Source organism: Homo sapiens, chromosome 2 (genome assembly GCF_000001405.40).
Source record: "Homo sapiens chromosome 2, GRCh38.p14 Primary Assembly".
Taxonomy (NCBI): Eukaryota; Metazoa; Chordata; class Mammalia; order Primates; family Hominidae; genus Homo; species Homo sapiens.
Window position 1 is genome coordinate 199,803,505 of NC_000002.12, and position 20,371 is coordinate 199,823,875.

General features: G+C 39.8%; 1 protein-coding gene across 30 annotated transcripts in view; it reads right to left on the minus strand.

Annotated features, from left to right (window-relative positions):
* The window catches only part of FTCDNL1 (formiminotransferase cyclodeaminase N-terminal like), a 187,358-nt gene that overhangs the window by 139,670 nt on the left and 27,317 nt on the right, over nucleotides 1-20,371 (minus strand). For 4 of the 30 annotated variants that reach the window (XM_024452852.2, XM_047444164.1, XM_024452855.2 and 1 more), the window contains exon 4: nucleotides 16,068-16,253. The exons of 13 other annotated variants lie outside the window; for them this stretch is intronic. In XM_024452852.2, coding sequence (XP_024308620.1) covers nucleotides 16,068-16,253 — 186 coding nt within the window. Of the gene's footprint in view, nucleotides 1-899; nucleotides 3,756-5,767; nucleotides 9,221-14,155; nucleotides 14,233-14,856; nucleotides 16,254-20,371 lie in introns of those variants that run through there. 13 more of the 30 variants (XM_047444166.1, XM_047444165.1, NM_001363886.2 and 10 more) reach the window with 6 other exon arrangements.

Sequence of the window (20,371 nt, forward strand, 5' to 3'; positions counted from 1 at the left end):
TGTCACCGAGGATAGAATGGCAAAATTATGTCTCACTGCAGCCTTGATCTCTCAGGCTCAAACGATCCTCACTTCTCAGCCTCCTGAGTAGCTGGGACTACAAGCGTGTATCACCACGCCTGGCTAATTTTTTATTTTTAGTAGAGACAAAGGCTCACTATGTTGCCCAGGCTGGTCTTGAACTCCTGAGCTCAAGTGATCTTCCTGCCTGGGCCTCCTGAATTGCTGGGATTACAGGCATGAGCCACCATGCCCAGCCCAAGGGGTACTGTTTAGGGTTAGGGCAGTGGTATAAACCTACAGGTATGGGATATGGTAGGAGGAGGTTCCTGGTTGACCCAATAGGCTAAGAGCACTTAGGGAATTTTATTACTTTAGTCACCTGCTCCAGAGGGTTGTTGTGAAAATCATGTAATAACTAATACTTAGTTGGTACTCAGTAAAAGATAGCTACAAATAATGATGCCAAAAGGGTTCACTCAAGACTTCTTTTCCCATATCTTGCTATTTTATCTTCCTTTTATCTTTGTGAAATAACAAAGTGGATATCATGAAGATGAACTACTAAAAAGAATTTTGGGATAGACACAGATTAATATTAATCAGTTACCGAAAATCCTTTATACGTACTAGAAACAATATAGTTTTGTAACAATGGATCCTAGCTAAACTACATCCATATAATTACTTTTTTCAAAGCAGTTAGTCTTCATGGAGATACAGGTACCTAAGAAGTTAGGAAACTGACTGGCTTCAGACGGGGCTTCCTGAGAAAAAGTTGATAGCGTGGTACCCAGAGGTTTGGGAAAGGCGTTTGGCTGGGGGCCTACCGCCAGATAAAAAGCATTATCTACATGGCAGGTAAAGATGGCTACACAAGGAAAGACAAGTAACTATTATAAGATTCAAAAGACTTTACTTATTTAAATTATATAATTACATTAGTTTACATTTTAAATGATGGAATATGCTACTACGCAAAAGACATCCTTTGGAAAACCTGGCCCAATGCTTTCCATGGCATTTCCCACCCTCACCTCAAGTCAACACTCAGACTCCCTACTGGTGGAAAAAATAGCACGAATTCCAAAAGGAAACTGCGAATTTGACAAGAAGAAGACAGTGAGATAAGAGAATAATGTGCGAATGAGAAGAAAAGGAGAGTAACCATGCGTGGGCTGTTTGTGTTAGGAGCTATGTTCACAAAGAGTATTTTCTGCCTTCTCCTTTCCCTCTCCATTTCCCCCAGTCCCATTGGGTCTGCTGATGTTTGTTTCTGACAGAAGCCAGTCTGAACCCAATCAGGAAAACAGAAACCACACTAAGCATTTCAAAAGAGATCACAAAAAAAATTGTCAACAGTTGTTGAACTTAAAAAGCAAAACAGAGAACAAGGGATCACAGAGCTGTAACTGCAGGCAGCACCACTCACTACAGCAGGGGTCCTCAGAGCCTAGAAGCTGAAAGGAGAGGCCCTGCAGAGCTGGGGCTCAGGCGTCTGAGGAAGGTGGCACTGCCCAGCTGATGCTGGGGCTTCTGAGGAGTGCAACAAGGCAAGCTCTGACAAGTGTTGGGGGGTGGGGAGAAAGAACAGCTGGAGCCTGGAACTAAGAGCCACTGTCAAGGTGAAGAGTCACTGCTGAAGTGGGGCTTCTAGAAACAGGAGGTCAAAAGGAAGGAGCAATCCCTCACCATCCTCCACCCCTGCAGCCTCCTCAGTCCAGGACCCCATATTGGCAGAGCCTAATAGGGAACTGGCTGGCAAAGAAGAAATGTGGTTTGCAGAGTCCCAGGATCAGAAAGTAGAGTATGGGGCCAGGTGCAGTGACTCATGACTGTAATCCCAGAACTTTGGGAGGCCAAGGCGGGAGGACTGCTTGAGCTCAGTTTAAGACCAGCCTGGGCAACATAGCAAGGTCCTGTGTCTACTAAACATAAAAATGAAACAAACTGGCTGGGCGCAGTAGCTCATACCTGTAATCCCAGTACTTTGGGAGGCCGGGGCAGGCGGATCACTTGAGGTCAGGAGTTCGAGACCAGCCTGACCAACATGGTGAAACCCGTCTCTACCAAAAATACAAAAAATTAGCTGGGTGTGGCAGCGTGCGCCTGTAATCCCAGCTACTCCAGAGGCTGAGGCAGCAGAATCGCTTGAACCCAAGAGACGAAGGTTGCAGTGAGCTGAGATCATGCCACTGCACTCCATCCTGGGCAACAGAGTAAGACTCTGTCTCAAAAAATAAAATAAAATAAAATAAAAAATTATTAGCCAGGTGTAGTGGTGTGCACCTGTAGTCCCAGCTACTTGGGTGGCTGAGGTGGGAGGATCACTTCAGCCTGGGACGTCAAGGCTGCAGAGAGCCATGATCATGCCACTGCACTGCAGCCTGGGTAACAAAGCAAGACCTTGTCTTGAAAAAAAAAAAAAGTATATGGAAGGATGAATGCGGAGCTGAGAGATAATAGGTTAACACCCACACTAAAAATGTAGAAAGAAATTAGTCCCATGTTTAGGTCTGTATCTCACATCTTAACTCACAATACACTAACTTGCCTCACAATACTGCAAATAGGAACAAAAGAAGTGGCACAGTAATCCAAAGGCAGTCTGAGTTCAACCAGAGCCCTGCTCACCAGGACATTTTATTACACATTGGAGAAGCATTCTAAGAGATTGCTGAGGGTGTTCTAATTGTTTTATCTATGAAAAATGGGCTCCTTGGAGGCCATGTGCAGGCTCGCTTAAAACAATAAGCTTTCCTAACCCCCCAAGCACAACATACTTCGGGAGCACGGTCTGGATGCTTATCAAACAAGTTCCTGGGCTGTTCTCTGAAGTTTCTGGGCAAGTACAAACAACAGAGTCAAATAAATGCCTTTAAAAGCAAGGCAGTGGAGCACGTACCCTGTCAGTGAGATCCTCACATTCCCACAGAATAAACAGTAACATGAGAATATTTATACGAAACAAAACTGTATATCAAGCCTGCTTTGGCTCAGCCAGGGGGAATGATAAATTCCTTGCAGATCTCTCACAGAGTGGTCCTTTGTTGACCACGGACGCCACTTCCAAGACAGTACAAACCAATTACAGAGCAAGGCTTTTCATTATGTCAAGAAATGAAAATATTACCTCCCTTTTGTTTTATTTCAGTTATATTTTCCTTACTCCCCTCTCCCAATGTTTAAATACTTTTAATTTATCGTGAGTCAAGCCCCAATTTAGGCTGGAAACCAATGACAACTCCCCCTCTCCCCTGCACCCCACACACAAAACCTTATCACCTCATAGCCTAGCTTGTTGCTTTCCTTATCCCTCTTTTAAGAAACTAAAAGTTAAAGTTTAAAGTTGGGTAGAATAAAAACACAAAGGGGCTGATAGAAAGTAAAGTCTATTTGTTCACATCAATTTTGGCCTCTTCACAGTTGGTGAAAGGAGGGAGGGTAAATATGAACTATGAAGCACATATTCCATACATTGTCCACCTTGTAGTAAGATTTAAAAAACAAATACTGATGAAACATTGGCACAAACTGTAGGGCTGCTTCTAAGAGGCCAATCTGAGAAAAGCTGCGTATGGGTCGGGGTATTTGTTAGCTCATTCTGTCAGGTCTTCTCAAGCCAATGGGATCGTCCTTCTTAGTTATTATAGATGCATCCCAGTGACTTATGCCAGTTCCTGCAGAGGAAGAGCTGGTGATAGTGTACCCATCCACCAGAACACCTTCTGCAATTTACAGCTGGTTCAGATTTTCTAAAAGGCAGAAGGGGAACAGAGAAAGAAAAGACAAATTCAAATATGAATGAGAAGTAAGAGGTGTGTCTGTGCTTGTTTTAAAAATTATTTATTGGCCAGGCATGGTGGCTTACACCTGTAATCCCAGTACTTTGGGAGCCCGAGGTGGGCAGATCACCTGAGCTCAGGAGTTCAAGACCAGCCTGGGCAAGATGGTGAAACCCTGTTTCTACTGGAAAAAAAAAAATAGCTGAGTGTGATGATGTGCACCTGTAATCCCAGCTACTCAGGAGGCTGAGGTAGGAGAGTCCCTTGAACCTGGAAGGTGGAGGTTGAAGTGAGCCAAGATTGTGCCACTGCACTCCAACCTGGGTAACAGAATGAGACTCTATCTCAGAAAAAGAAAATTATTTATTTATAATAAAAATGTAAATTTTTGCTTTTTAATGGATAGCTGGATCAAAGGCCACATTTAATCAACTTTATTTTAAACCATTAACTAAACCTCATCTGGAGCACTACAGTCCATCATAATAGATTTTAAAAGGGAAAAATAGGTCATACATATTTGTATCTATTAGTAGATAACAGAAATTTGCCAACATTTTATTTAGAACATATGGATGATCTGGTTTGGATCAATGTCTCCACCCAAATCTCATGTTCAATCATAATACCCAGTGTTGGAGGTGGGGCCTGGTGAAAGGTGACTGAATTATCGGGGGTGCATTTCTCATGAATGGTTTAGTACCATCCTCTTGGTACTCTCCTCATGACAGTGAGTGAGTTCTTGTGAGATCTGGTCATTTAGAAGTAGGTAGCACCTCCCCACCAGCTCTCTTGCTCCTTCTCTGGCCATGTGACATAACTGCTCCCCCTTCCCCTTCCACCATGACTGTAAGTTTCCTGAGGCCTCCCCAGAAGCCAAGCAGATGTCAGCATCATGCTTCTTGTACAGCCTGCAGAACCATGAGCCAATTACATCTCTTTTCTTTATAAATTGCCTAGTCTCAGGTATTTCTTTATAGCAATACAAGAATGGACTAAGACAATGGACTTAGTAAAGTTATCTTATTCAGATATGAGGGGATTTTTGTATTTTTTTCTTAACTTTTGTGGGATAAATACATACTTTTTGTTCTTTTTTAATTATAAAACACAATGTGCATAACATACAATTTGCCACTTTAGCCATTTTTAAGTGTATAATTCAGTGGAATTAAGTACATTCACACTGTTGTGCAACCAAGCACCATCATCCATCTCCAGAACATTTTTCATCTTTCCAAATGACACACTGTACCCATTAAAAAGATGTTTGGTTTTAAATAGGCCTTGCTCAAAGCCAGCAGCCTGTAATGCTGTGACAGGAACCTGGAGAGGTTAATTCAGGTAACCGGCAAATGAATCAACCCCTACAACCCAATATGAATCAGTGGCACCATGTGCTTTTATCCCCTCTCATCTGTTTAATACTGATGCTCAAAACTAAAGCAAAGCTCTAGAATAGACCTAGAAAAACTATTAATAATACATTTCATTTGTACATTACAGCTTATAGACATTTATTCCCCTAGTTGGGGAGGGAACGATTTGTCCTATTTCATAGCTAATGAAATTATGGCTACATGAAAAATAAGAGCAAGGACTGAACTCAAGCCCTCCAAACCACTGTCTGCTGTTCCTTCTATCGGGCCACACAGCCTCCGCCAAAGCAAGGCAAGACCTGGGCACTGCTGCTTCTCACCTCTCAGAGACTGAGAGACAGACCTATCAGGTCTAACTGGACAGCATTTTCTCTCTTCACCAGAGCAACTAAAATTCCTCACGTCTAAAAACCATACCTAGTCCATCATCTTTTCCATCTTCGTTGTAATCATATTGACAGAGAAAACACACACAGAATTGGAATTCCAGAATAATATAAATGCAGTCAGATTCAAGAATCAAATGTAAGTAAAAAAAATTAGATCACTGGATCCTATAAAAAGATTGAGTTCGGCCTTTTTTTTTTTTAACTTTTTTTTTTCTAATAGAGATAGTCTCACTACATTGACCAAGCTGGTCTCAAACTCCTGGGTTCAAGTGATCCTCCTACCTTGGCCTCCCAAAGTGCTGGGATTACAGGAATGAGCCACCACACCCAGCCAAACTCTTTATTTTTAATTCCTTAAAATAAATTCACATTTTGCGCTCTTATTAAAGAAGATCACAGTCTTTCTTGCTAAACTCAATTTGTGGAAAAATTCATTTCTCTGTGCTTTATGGGGAGCATCTGATACTAGAACAATATAAATACTAAGGATTTAATTAAAATTGCCATCATTGACACATAGCTTCTTTTAGTATACAAAAAGGCTACAAATTTTCTTTTCTTTCAAATAAAATTTCTTCTGCCAATACCCTTCTCTTTGCTCAAAAACAGTATGTTCTCTAAACCTTTAGACTTTCCATCTGAATTCCAAAAGAATAAGTACTTCCTTGAAGTCATGCCCAACACCATCATGCCATCTCCCCAATATAAACATTTCAAAATTCTATATCTGGTTTATGAGCAGCAGATCATCTTAAAAGTAGTAAGGCAAGAATGAACAATCATGCTTTGAAAGAGAGATTATATTTTGTAACCCTCTCATTTTTTAGTCACTTAGTACCTGATTTTTTTTTTTTTTGGTAACCCTCCCATTTTTTAGTCACTTAGTATCTGATTTTATTTTGCTGATAATATTTTTTTCCATAACAAAAGTATTTAGGCTATAATCAGGTAACTTTATCTACTCTAAACTATCCGAAGGATTTTTTTTTTCCTAAAAGAGCTCGAACTTTCCAAAATACCAACAGAGAAAGAAAAGCACGGTTAAGAGCTAAGCGTCATCAGCAGCAACAGGCCTTAGACCTTCATTCATTTCCAAGGCCATCTCCATGGGGGCTTGAATTCAATGACAGGCCTAAGAGTCTCAGAGACAGGAGTAAATCACACCTCTGTACCCACCACTCCCTCTCTCCGAAACAAACTCCTGTCATTATTGAATTAGGTTAATATCAGATTAAAATGAATCTCAAAACCAGTCTTAATTAGGGAAAGAGGTCACTAAAAACTAACAAACAGCCTTGGAACTGGGAAAAGCAAAGGGACTCACGTGTTTTGTGATGATGTGAGTTTGGCAGGGTTTGGAGCCAAACAAGACAAAAGAGTTCCCTCACACAGACTTATAAACCTCGTGCCTTTCTCTTTGTGAAACCTGTTGGAGGCACCTCTTTCTTCCATCCCCAGCTATACAAGAGGCTGAGATGGCCATTGACACTCTAGAGCCCTGTTACTCTAGAGCTCAGGGGCAAATGTCCCGCCTTTCCCTGTCTCAGGGATGGTGCGGCTCACATTACATAAATAGCGTGGCTCTAATTATAGTTTACACTATAAGATGGACAACTTGGTTAAATTAGCATTGGTATAAAAAGCTTACATTTGCAGTTTCCTCATTTTTGGGGAACCTTACATTTCTAAAAGCAAAGTTAAGCAGGGATTGATGAGGAATAAAGGACTGACCTCATCTTCAGCATGTGATCATTCCTTAGCTACTATTTCAACATTATTTTACTGTCATTACTTTTTCTTGCTACTTTCAAACTTATTGCTCCTGATGTCAGCATCCATCAGAGAAATGCCTTCTGGGTTCACTTTTCCCTAGACTACGATGGTTTGGGGGCTTTGTTGCCTAGCCTGGCTACTCTCATACTAATAGATGTTTTACAGAAAATCAGCACACGGAAACCACATTTCATCTTTTTCCCACACATGTACATAATGAAACATTTCAACTCCCGAGGCTGGGCCTCTTCCTCCTGGGAATTCTGCAGGAATGAATCAGATTACAGTATTTCCCCATAATGCTGATTTCATAAAAATTAAATTTCCTAACAGTCAATACATCTCTCTCTCATCATCTCATGTCCCAATCACTTACCCTAAATATCTTTAAGAATTATATCAGTTTTAACATTGCACAGAGTATAATTGGAATTTTTGTCAATCTTAATGTTGCCACTCTTTAACAGAAAACTTCCAAACATTTTTCTCTCATTTACCCCCCAATAAGTCATGTTACAAATAGCCTTATGTCCTAAAATCTAATGTACTTATCCTATTTTGACTCAAGGAATGGTAATATCTTTACCATCGTTCCAACAAATAGTTGGATCACACTCAGGTTTTGCTGAAGAGTATATAACACTGGGGGTTACATCAGCATGACTATTCAAAATCCTTACCAGGCCTGTAGTGCTTCACCATTACGCTTTGCTGTCCCATAGCTTTGATATGCCCAGTCACATTCAGTTATTCACATGCAATTCATCAGCCTGAGGGAGCAAGTCACTTTCAAAGGAAGTTCCTGCATGTGGACTTGGGGCTTTCCCCATGACATGGGTCATTCCATCCCTGTAGCCCTGGGACTTTTCCTGAATCCCTCACCCAGCAAATTCCAAGACATCCTCTTCCATTGCATGTCTAATAACTTCCCCCTGTTAGTAGAATTTCCAAAGTTGATCATTCTTGCTATAAATGAACTCATTGCCTAAGACAAATTATTAAAGATAAAGTAAGCTTAGACATAAGCCCTAAGGACAAGAGTTCAATAAAGAACATGACACGTACACTGTTCAGTGTCCCAACAGCGACTTACTTGATTGAAATGAAACTCTTATTTTTAAAATTCCTTCAAAAGCATAAAGTTCATTTTTTAAGCAAAATAAAACATCAGAAATAACTTTCATATGCTTTTAAATAAAATAAGAGGTAATCACTTAACACAGAATAATCATTTTTCAAACAGACCCTTGTTATATGTATTTTAAATTCTTCTAGTAAGCTTTAGTTACACAATATTTTTGTTTTATTACTATTTCTTATTCAAGTAGTGATAAAACGGAGACAATTAATGAATCTGAGATGTTTCTGACCTAATCAGGGTAGTAGTTTCCTCTCCAAGGTGGGGAAACTTCTCTCCCTTGGAAGGTGAAAGAAGAAAGAAAGAAAAAGAAGAGAAAATTTCTCTTTCTGCCCAAATTCACGCTTTTCCAATTTCCTCCATTTAATCCTTCCAAGTCAAAACCAATACGGTGATCCAATTATACTGAATCAAATTCTGTGTTTAAATCCAGCAGTCCCATTGACCTTATTTAAATGCTGAATTTGATTTTTTATGTTAATTTAAACCTACTAAGAAGGTATTTTAAATGAGAGAGATAATTAATCCCAGCAAATCGTATTTCTAGTTAAATGTCATATAATTAAAGTAATTCCACTTTTTGCTCTAAAATTAGAAACCTGATGTGAAAGTTTGTTTCTCAGTTTGCAGTTTCGCTCCACTCCCGCCTCCCGCAGATTGGCACTCAGCTGCTCTGGTGGCAGCACGGATCCCCTCACTGCAAGGCTGAAATTCCAATTTTCTTCCAACACAACTGTCACAACGCCCTGAAGCAAGCTAAAAACAAGGAAAAAAATCTTTGGTATGATTTCGTTTTCCATGTGTGCTTTAATGAAAAATTTATCATTCTAAATATTGGTGTTTACTCCTAGTTAAATATTTTTTTATCAAAAAGAAAAAGAAACTGAGATTCAGTCGCTATTATTTCACAGAGAAATATAACAGGCCTGATGTCTTCCTGACAATTCTGTTATTTTCTTGTGTGGAAACACTGTATTTATCATATACTGTATGGCTGGTGATTTAGATATTGTTGAGACCTTATGGTGAACTGATATGGATGTAAACTCTTTATGCCAGATTGTTTAAGCAGAAAAAAACCAAATGCACTTAATTAACATCTGATGTGTAGCTTTTGCAAACACAAATGCAATATTTGTGTTTGAGCACTGGCAGTAATGACTGTGAACTATGCTATTAATGTCTGGTTTAAAGATGCTTGTGGTAGGACCATGTCTGGAATAACACAAATAAAAAACTGCATTCAGACAAAACAATAGCGAAGAGCCCATTAGGAAAATGGAAAAGCAGCACTCAGAAGAAACACATGTATTTTTTTTCCCTTTAGATCAAAATTATTCTCAAAAATAGTTCCAGGCACCATCATTTTCAATCAATTAAAGGTGAAAGGATTCTATATATTTTAACTCTACAGAAAAGTGTTTCACTTTAGGAGTGCCAAAGTTGTTTAGGGGTGTCTTCAGAAGTTCCATTCATTATATTATACTCCTCTTTGGTGGCCAGTATTAAAGCATACATGAGGAGAGAGCTGGGATGGTGTTTTAGGATATTTAGCACTTTTATATCTAAAGAGAAAACTTCAAATTTGTGGACTGCATTACAGTTTGAATAAACAGATTCTTTTCAACCAATTCAACTCCCTCATTAAATACTTTGTTACCAGGCTGGGTGCGGTGGATCATACCTATAATCCCAGCACTTTGGGAGGTCGAGGCAGGCGGATCACAAGGTAAGGAGTTCGAGACCAGCCTGGCCAATATTGTGAAACCCCGTCTCTACTGAAAATACAAAAATTAGTTGGGCATGGTGGCGCGTGCCTGTAGTCCCAGCTACTCAGGAGGCTGAGGCAGGAGAATCACTTGAACCCAGGAGGCAGAGGTTGCAGTGAGCAGAGATCGCCTTGCCACTGCACTCCAGCCTGGTGACAGAGCGAGACTCTGTCTCAAAAAAAAAAAAAAAAAAAAAAAAAAAAAAATACTTTTTTACTGAAAACCTGGTGAGTGCCAGGAACCATGCAGGTTGCTGAGTATAAAAACAGGAAGAAAGTTAAAATAAGGTAAAACCCTAGCCTAAATGTGGACTTTGCTTCAGAGTAACAAACAGAGCAAGGCAACCAGACTCAGAACTCAGGTTCAAAAACATAAACAGTTATTATACCAAAAACAATTAGTTATCATTATATATTGGTATTTTAAATTTTTTAGACCATGCACTAAAGGGAAACCACAGCTGAAACAGGACATTTGATGACTAAAGCCATAAAACTCAAACATAATTGCTAAGTCCAATGCTCCCATGGCGGGAAGAATGCAGGACTTGTCTCCGTGTGGCTGAATCCACAGAAAAGAAAGCTAAGTGAGAACCACGTGCCACAGGGCTAGGAAGTACTCCCGTGGGTCCAAATTCAAGTTCCACCTCAACAGGACACTGCCTCTGCTCAGCTCTCTTTCTGTAAAATGGTTATGACGTTTCCTTGCTCTGTGAGGCATTGTGAACCTCATTCTATTGCCTTTAAATCTTTCAGAGTAGAAATAATTCAGAAGAGATTACAAACATAGGTACAAATTTACCTCCCATAATTAAGCCAGTCCAGATAAGAGGGAAACTCAAGTAACTTGCCTGCTGTCAGGTTTTTCAATAATAGAACAGTGCCCTCCCTGAGTTCAGGCAAAGTCTTAAGTCCTTCATGCTCCAATTATAGGTTACATGCTTAGTGACACATTGAGACTTTCATTTTTCATCATCCCAACTAGGCTTCCTAGCCAGCATCAGCAAATGATTTTTAAAAATAGGCTCCCTAAAACGAGACTCATTCTAAAACTAGAAATTATTTTTCAAATACCAGATAAAGTTTTGGTGTGGAGTAAATTGGAGTATTCAATGTCAAGAAAAGTGCCTGATGATGCATTTCTTATTTATAGTAGAAAGAAGTAAGCAGGAAAGTGCTCAGTAACCCATTTAAATAACTAAACAGAAGCCCCTGATTCCAAGATGTACCAATTACCTCCATCTCTGACTCCTAGGGCATCATATGAAACTACAGTTCAAAGAATTTTCCCTGCATTTTTAAACAATGATGCATACATGCAGGCCATTCATACAACATATCAGACAGCAGTGTTTAAATTACCCCATAAATGTTTAGGATTTTAAATATATATGTATAAAGTATTTATTTATAGATCTAAAAGTATCAACTATTACTGCTTTGCCCTTATTTATGTTCCCCACAAGCTGGCCAACTACAAACTTTTAAAAGGAATTTGGCTTAAAAGATTTTGTGTGTTTGGCACTGACTATGGGTGTTAATCATTTCTGAGCTCACTTCTTTTTCTCTTCTGTTTATAATATTCTTTGGGAACTTCAAAACAGAAACCTGTTTCCTTATAGATTCTGCTTCCTCTCTGGTACTGTGCAAATTAATTTGTCCTGGATTGTTGACTGTACTGTACAGTTGATAGCGCCAATCATTTCTATTTCATTTTTGTAGGGAAAAACATAAACATAGCAACAATGTGTTGAGGTTTTTCTGTTTTGGTGGGAGGGAAAAATATGTTAGGAAACACTGACATAACCAAAAAAAAAGTTAGAAAAATATATAAAGCCAATTAAATTTAAACAAGAGGGAAATCGCTATTGTTGGGAACCAAATTCATTGAAAAATTAGATGAATAACATTTCTACCCTAAAGAAAGAGGTGTTATAAATTCTACTTCAGTAGATATTGCTTCAAAAAATGAAAGCGATTTATGGCCAGGCACAGTGGCTCATGCCTGTAATCCCAGCACTTTGGGAGGCCGAGGTGGGCAGATCACGAGGTCAGGAGTTCGAGACCATCCTGGCCAACATGGTGAAACCCCGTCTCTACTAAAATACAAAAAATTATCCATGCATGGTGGCACGTGCCTGTAGTCCCAGCCACTCGGGAGGCTGAGGCAGGGGAATCGCTTGAACCCAGGAGGCGGAAGTTGCAGTGAGTTGAGATCACACCACTGCACTCCAGCCTGGGTGACAGAGCGAGACTCCATCTCAAAAAAAAAAGAAAGAAAGAAAGAAAGAAAGCAATTTACTTCTTTCTGGATTATTTTTTAAGGAAGAATATGTGCAATTAAGGTAACCTAATATTTTAGTAGAAAGTCTTAAACTCTACTATCTGGTGTGAGGAATATTAGAAACTAATTGTTTATTCACATCCCTTATTCACTGATCCTCCTTGAAATACTTTATTTTTCTGCTATTAGCACCTGCTTTGAGCCTACTAAATGATGGACAAACAGACTGCCCAAACTTGGCAAACTGTAATTTTCCTGTTTCTTCCACAAGCTAAGGTTTCTACCCTTGGTCATGGCTACCAGTGAAAAAAGGCATATAGGGGAAAAGCTGTGCTCCTTTTCCCTTCTTATCATGAATATGCCATCAAATATAATCTGAATACAGGCACTGAAACTTAGCTTTTATAAAATTGACCACTAATAAATCTTACTAATTACCCTTCAGGGAAGATGATGGAAATAATCACAGGGTTGATTTAGAGATATTATGAAAATATGTTGGAAGCTTTAAGAATATAAAAATGTTTTTCTTACATATAATATAAACAAAATATGTACATATATATTTTACAATATTGAGATCATGCTGCCTATACTACCTGGTATCCCTTGCACTGGCTATTCCCTCTGCCTAAAACTCTCCTCCACATCTCCACGTGGCTAGTGGCCTCACTCCTTCAAGTCTTTGCTCTAATATTGCCTTTACAATGAAGCCTAATTTGGATTATTCCACTTATAATCACAATACGGCCCCATTCTAGAACTCTTAATGCCCTTGTCCTGTTCAATATTTATTTTGGCTGTAGCACTTGTTATTTTCTAATGTACTATATAATTCATTTGTTTATTAAGGCTTTTATTTATCGTCTGTCTCTTTGCCCCTCCCCAACTACAATGTAAGTTCTTTGAGGACAGATAAGTTCTATTTTGCCCGCTGGTGATACTGCTTAGCACATAGTAGGTACTTAATATCTGTTTCATTAACTAATTTAACTGTAAATTCTCTCTACATTAGATTGCATTTTCTATGTCTCTGAAAGTTCTTCTAAAACATCATGCTTGAGTATGCCATAGTTTACATAAACATACCCAAATAGCAAACATTTCCATTATTTTCAGTATTTGCTATTATAAATAATGCTTTGATAAACATACTTGTACATATACCTTTTACTATTTCCTTAGGATTTATCTCTAGATCTAGAATTCCTGAAAGGCAGTTATATACATTTTTAGAGCTCTTCGCACATATCACAAGCTCACTTCTAAAAAGTTTATACCAATTTATACTATCATTAACAGTGTAAATGTCTCTAACTACATCTTCCCCAGTATTAAATATTACCTTTAAAATATCATCTTTAAACATTCATTGTGCCAATTTTGGCATCTTAATGTTTTAACGTGGGATTTGCAGATTTTTATGAATTTTTTTATGTAAATTACAGATCTCCATGTGAGTAAAAACAGAGAATAAAATCATGGGCCAGGCACGGGGGGTCACGCCTATAATCCCAGGACTTTGGGAGGCCAAGGTGGGTAGATGGCCTGAGTCCAAGAGTTTTGAGACCAGCCTGGGCAACATGGTGAAACCCTGTCTCTACAAAATATACTTGGAAGGATGAGGTGGGGGAATCACCTGAGCCCATGAAGTTGTGGCTGCAGTGAGCCGAGATCGCACCACTGTACTCCAGCCTAGGCAAATGCCATGAGACCCTGTCTCAAAAAAAAAAAAAAAGTAAGAAAAAGAAAAAATCAGAAATCCCAGTGTGTTGACCATTTCAAATCAAACAATATAAAATAGATAATGATGAGGCAGAGACACAGATTATCCAACCACAGGCAGGTGATAGATCAGATTGGGAAGCAATCCTCCCTTTAGTTTAAACAACTACATATCAAGTTTGTTCTTAGGAAACTAAACATAATTAGTGATAATATTAGCATTTGGTCTTTAACTCACATATGATTTTTATATCAGGTTAAAGTTTTTCCCAAATATAGACCCATTTATTCTAACAGCACTGCAAAAATGAGAATTAAGTTATTCAAGTGTTTGCTTAACCTAATGATCTCACAGCAGTATACCTATGTCTAATTCCCGTCCACCTGACTGCAATACCAGTCCACCTGGCACTGAAGTGACTACATCTGCGGTATAATCTCTTCAGTCTTTAGGGAGGCTCAAATTAGAAACCAGGAAATGGATTTCTGAAAATTTAGTCATAAAACTTTACACTTCTCCATTTGTGAGACAAATCATGGGAAAATATGTGAGGTTCAAATTGGCAGAGAGCAATCAGTCTCTTCCTTTTTTCTATGACAAAATGTTGAATGAAATACATTTGTAATATCACTTTTATTAAATCTCATCTTCATAGGGAAGAAAAAAATAGCCCTTTAGTACTGTGTTGGGCACTTTACAGACATCATTTCGACTTCACAATAATGAGAGGGAGACATTATTACGTCCGTTTTATAGATACGGGAACCAAAGCATAATGAGACCAAGGAACCACGGTCACACAGCCAGCAAATAGCAAGGCTGGGATTTCAGCATGGCCCCAAAACCTGTGCTTTTTTTTTTTAATTGCATTGCTCTACTTGATTATAGACAATATTTGTTTAAGATCAGAATTCTGTGCCAGGGGCTACTAACCAAAGACCTATGTGTAAATGATTCTGCAGGGCTTTGGCAGAGCTGTGCCATGAGAAATGTGTTTCTTATGCTCGCCCACCTCTCGCTCCTTGGATACCTAGTATTTTGGTAACTGCTTAAGTTATTGACTGACCATCAAAATGTGACCTTACATGGTTTAATTTGTGGCCCCAACAGAGTCTGAAAATGGAACAATTAAGACTCAAATAAGTGACACTAGGATGGTGGAAGTACAGACAACAGAGAGGAGTTCCACCTTTTCCTGACACATCCCTTAGGGTGGGGCAGGGAGTGAGGGCAGGAGCAGCACAGAGAGGCAAAAGTTGATAAAAGCCAGGGGAAGGAATAGTTTCTTTTTCCAGTCTTTGGTCTCTGCATTCTAGAAGTCCGTTATCTAGAACAGCTTTTTTCCAGGGTTCCTCTAGAACTGATTTCCAGCTGTAAGCACCAACTTGGCTACACTGATGTTTAAGTATTGAAAGACCTTCCTACCAGCTAGAAGTGATCTCTCCCTAAGTCCTCCCTCTCCAGGTGTCTCCATCACACCCTAGGACACACCCCACACCATTCACAGACAGGGGCCTCCAGGACCCTGCCCCAGTGCCAGGAGCTACGAGCATTCTTTTCATCAGTGATCACGTTGCAGGGCTAATGATATATCTTGAATATCACTTCTGGGGGCCCTCATCAAATACTTGACGGGAGCTTCTAGGCTCACAGGTTAGCTTAAAAGGGCCTGGGTGAGAGTAACAGCAGAAAGGAGAGCCTCACCCATTTCAAGAAGCAGCCACCCCTATAACTCTTCCTGCATTAACAGGGTGTGGCTCATAAAGGGGACCTCAAGTTTAAAAAAAAAAAAAAAACAGAGCAAAGCAAAAACCATGCTCAGAACCTGTTAAACCACATCTTTGGGAAGGGGCAGCTCCCAGGTCAGGCTGAAGAGCACTGAAATCCCTCCTCGTGAACCAGCCCAGCTGCTTCCTTCTCTGCACAAGACTGCGCTTCTCAGGCAGGTCAGCTTCGCCAAAGAGAAACACGCTGCAGCCAGGAACATGCAGCACCAGATCCTCAGCAAGGCCTGTGGCAGAGGGAATTTTAACCAAAGAAAATCACAATCAAGCCAAATTTTAAAAACCAAAGCATATAATTTTTTTGCTGTGGTAAAACATATTTAACATAGAACTCATCATTTTAGTCATTTCTAAGTGTCCAGATCAGTGGCATGAAGTTGCACACTGTTGTGCAACCATCACCACTAAAGCACATGATTTATACAAATTTTAAACATCAAAGCTTAAACAGAATGAATGCTCCATTGAAGTTAGTCTCACAATAAAAGCTTGCCTTGATACAAGCAGGCTTGAATTTCTAACCCATTACAAATCTAATTTCACAGTGGAAATGTATATGTAGGATTAATGAAATTGGTGCCTTCAATTTTTGAACAATGTTATAATAGCCCCAACTTGTAAATATTGTTAGAAGGTATAAAAAGTTAGGAGGGCAAGGGCCAGTAACCACACTGTCTAATACAGTAGCCCCTAGCTATGTATGCTATTAAAATTTAATTCTAATCAATTAAAATTTTAATTAGGATTTATCTCTAGAACTAAAGTTTTAATTGACTAAAATTAAATAAAATGGGCCAGGGCAGTGGCTCACACCTATAATTCCAGTACTTTGGGAGGCTGACACAGGAGGATAGAGTGAAGCCAGGAGTTTGAGAACAGCCTGGGCAACATAGTTAGACTCCTATCTCTACAAAAACTAAAAAAAGAAAAGAAAAAAATGAAAAATGAAGTTTTTTAGTTGCACTTGTCACATTTCAAGTACTTAACAACCACACATGGCTAGTGGTCTCCATACTGGACAGCACAGATAAAGAACATTTCCATCGCCACAGAAAGTTCTATTGGACAGCTCTGGGCCAGATGCTACATAAGGAAGCCTAATATTTAAACACAATTGGAGATTACTCTAAATGATAGAACATTTTTCATCTTCCTCTGCCATTCTTCATATCTGGATTCTCTGGATATGATTTTATCTTCTCAAGGCAAAATATAGAATTGCTGGGCTTTTCTAGATTACTCCTTCACCGGACCTCTGCTTGTTTTCTAGGAGCTAATTATAGTCCCCTGTAAGCAAACACAGAGATGGCATACATTTTTGTCTGATATACGAAATGTAGGTGCTCAGGGAATTCTGGGGCTGGCCTGGGATAGCAGGAGTGCAGGCCTTCTTTATTTGTTCCGTATCACGGATCATCAAAATCAGAGCTGAGATGAGACCTCTGGCCACAATAAGCATAGGAGACCTTCCCAACTGCAATTTCAGGGTGTATTATTTGTTTAATTCTAATTCAGGCTGCCATGTTAATGGAGGAAATGAAATGCAGAAGACACTAAAAAAAGACTGGGTACCACTGGGGTGTAAAAAGTCTTGGGAAATGTTTTGGTTTTGGTGGTTTTTTGTTTGTTTGTTTTTTGAGATGGAGTCTCGCTCTGTCGCCCAGGCTGGAGTGTAGTGGTGCGATCTTGGCTCACCGCAAACTCCACTTCCTGGGTTCAAGCAATTCTCCTGCCTCAGCCCACCATGTAGCTTGGATTACAGGCACGTGCCACCAAGCCTGGCTAATTTTTTTTTTTTTTTTTTTTTTTTTAGTAGACACAGGGTTTCACCATGCTGGCCAGGCTGGTCTTGAACTCCTGACCTCGTGATCTGCCCTCCTCAGCCTCCCAAAGTGCTGGGATTACAGGCATAAGCCACGTGCCCAGCCTGGTTTTTTGTTTGTTTGTTTTTTGAGATGGAGTTTCACGCTGTCGCCCAGGCTGCAGTGCAGTGGCATGATCTTGGCTCAGTGCAACCTCAGCCTCCTGAGTTCAAAGGATTCTCCTGCCTCAGCCTCCAGAGTAGCTGGGATTACAGGAACCCGCTACCACACCTGGTTAATTTTTGTATTTTTAGTAAACGGAGTTTCACCATGTTGGCCAGGCTGGTCTCAAACTTCTCACCTCAAGTGATCTGCCTGCCTCAGCCTCCCAAAGTGCTGGGATTTGAGGCATAAGCCACCACGCCCAGCCTGGGAAATGTTCTTTCTCTGAGTCAGGTAGGGACTCCAGCATTAGAAGTTCCTGGTATTGTAGATACCATAAAGCCAAGAAAATCTCCTAAGTTTATTTTAGCCCTAAGTGATTTCTGTTTCATTAACACTGCTTTAAGGTACAGGCATACCTCAGAGATATTGTGGATTTGATTCCAGACCACAGCAATAAAGCAAATATCGCTGGCAAATATCACAATAAAGCAAGTCACATAAATTTTTTGGTTTCCCAGTGCATATAAAAGTTATGTTTATATTATACTGTAATCTCTTAAGTGTTTAATAGTATTATGTCTGCAGAAACCAATATATATACCTTAATTTAAAAATACTTTATTGGCCAGGTGCAGTGCCTCACGCCTGTAATCCTAACACTTAGGGAGGCTGAGGAGGGAGGATTGCTTGAGATCAGGAGTTTGAGACCAGCCTGGGCAACATAGTGAGACACCAACTCTACAAAAAATAAACAAAATTACTTGGGTGTGGTGGCATATGCCTGTAGTCCCAGCTACTGAAAAGGGTGAGGTGGGAGGATCACTTGAGCCTGGAAGGTCAAGGCTGCAATGAGCTGAGATCATGCCACTGTACTCCAGCCTTGGTGACAGATCTAGACCCTGTCTCAAAAAAAACCAAAAACTTTTTTGCTAAAAAATGCTAAGGCTTCAGCAAGTCATCATCTTTTTGCTGGTGGACATTCTGGCCTTCATCTTGATTGCTGCTGACTGATCAGGCTGATGGCTGCCGAAGGCTGGAGTGGCTGTGGTAATTTGTTAAAATAAGACCACAGTGAAGTTTACTGCATCAATTGGCTTTTCCTTTCACGAAAATTTCTCTGTAGCATGTGATGCTGTTTGATAGTATTTTACCCGCAGTAAAACTTCAATATTGGAAACAATACTCTCAAACTCTGATGCTGCTTTATCAATTCAGTTTATGTAATATTCTAAATCTTGTGTTGTCATTTCAACAGTGTCCACAGCATCATCACCAGGAGTAGATTCCACATTAAGAAACTTCTTTTATTGCTTCATCCATAAGAAGTAACTCCTCATCCGTTCTAGTTGTTGGGTTTTTTTGTTTGTTTTGGAGACAGCATCTTCTTCTGTCACCCAGGCTGGAGTGCACTGGCATGATGTATGCTCACTGCAACATCTGCCTCCCAGGTTCAAGTGATTCTCATGCCTCAGCCTCCCAAGTAGCTGGGATTACAGGTGTGTTCCACCACTCCTAGCTAATTTTTGTATTTTTAGCAGAGATGGGTTTCACTATGTTGGCCAGGTTGGTCTTGAACTCCTGGCCTCAAGTGATCCGCCAGCTGCAGCCTCCCAAAGTGCTGGGATTACAGGCATGAACCACCTTGCTGGGCTCCATTCAAGTTTTATCACGAGATTTCAGCAATTCAGTCACATCTTCAGTTTCCACTTCTACTTTTAGTTTTCTTGCTATTTTCACCACATCTGCAGTGACTTCCTCCACTAAAGTCTTAAAGTCACCCATGAGGGTTGGAACCAACTTCTTCCAAACTCCTCTTAATGTTGATACTTTGACTTCCCCCCAAGAATCATGAATGTTCTTAATGGCATCTAGAATGGCAAATCCTTTCCACAAGGTTTTCAATTTACTTTTTCCAGATCCATCAGAGGAATCACTATCTACGGCAGCTATAGCCTTACAAAATGTATTTCTTAAATAATAAGATGTGAAAGCCAAAATTACTCCTTGATCCATGGGCTGCAGAATGGATGTTGTGTTAGCAGGCATGAAAACAACATTAATCTCCTTGTACATCTCCATCAGAGCTCTTGGGTGGCAAGGTGCATTGTCAATGGGCAGGAATATTTTGAAAGGAATATTTTTTTCTGAGCAGTAGGTATCAACAGTGGGCTTAAGATATTCAGTAAACCATGCTGTAAACAGATGTGCTGTCATCCAGGCTTTGTTGTTGCATTTATAGAGCACAGACAGAGTAGATTTAGTACAATTCCTAAAGGCCCTTGGATTTTCAGAATGGTAAATAAGCATTTGACTTCAACTTAAGGTCATCAGTTGCATTTGCCCCTAACAAGAGAATCAGCCTGTTCTTTGAAGCCAGG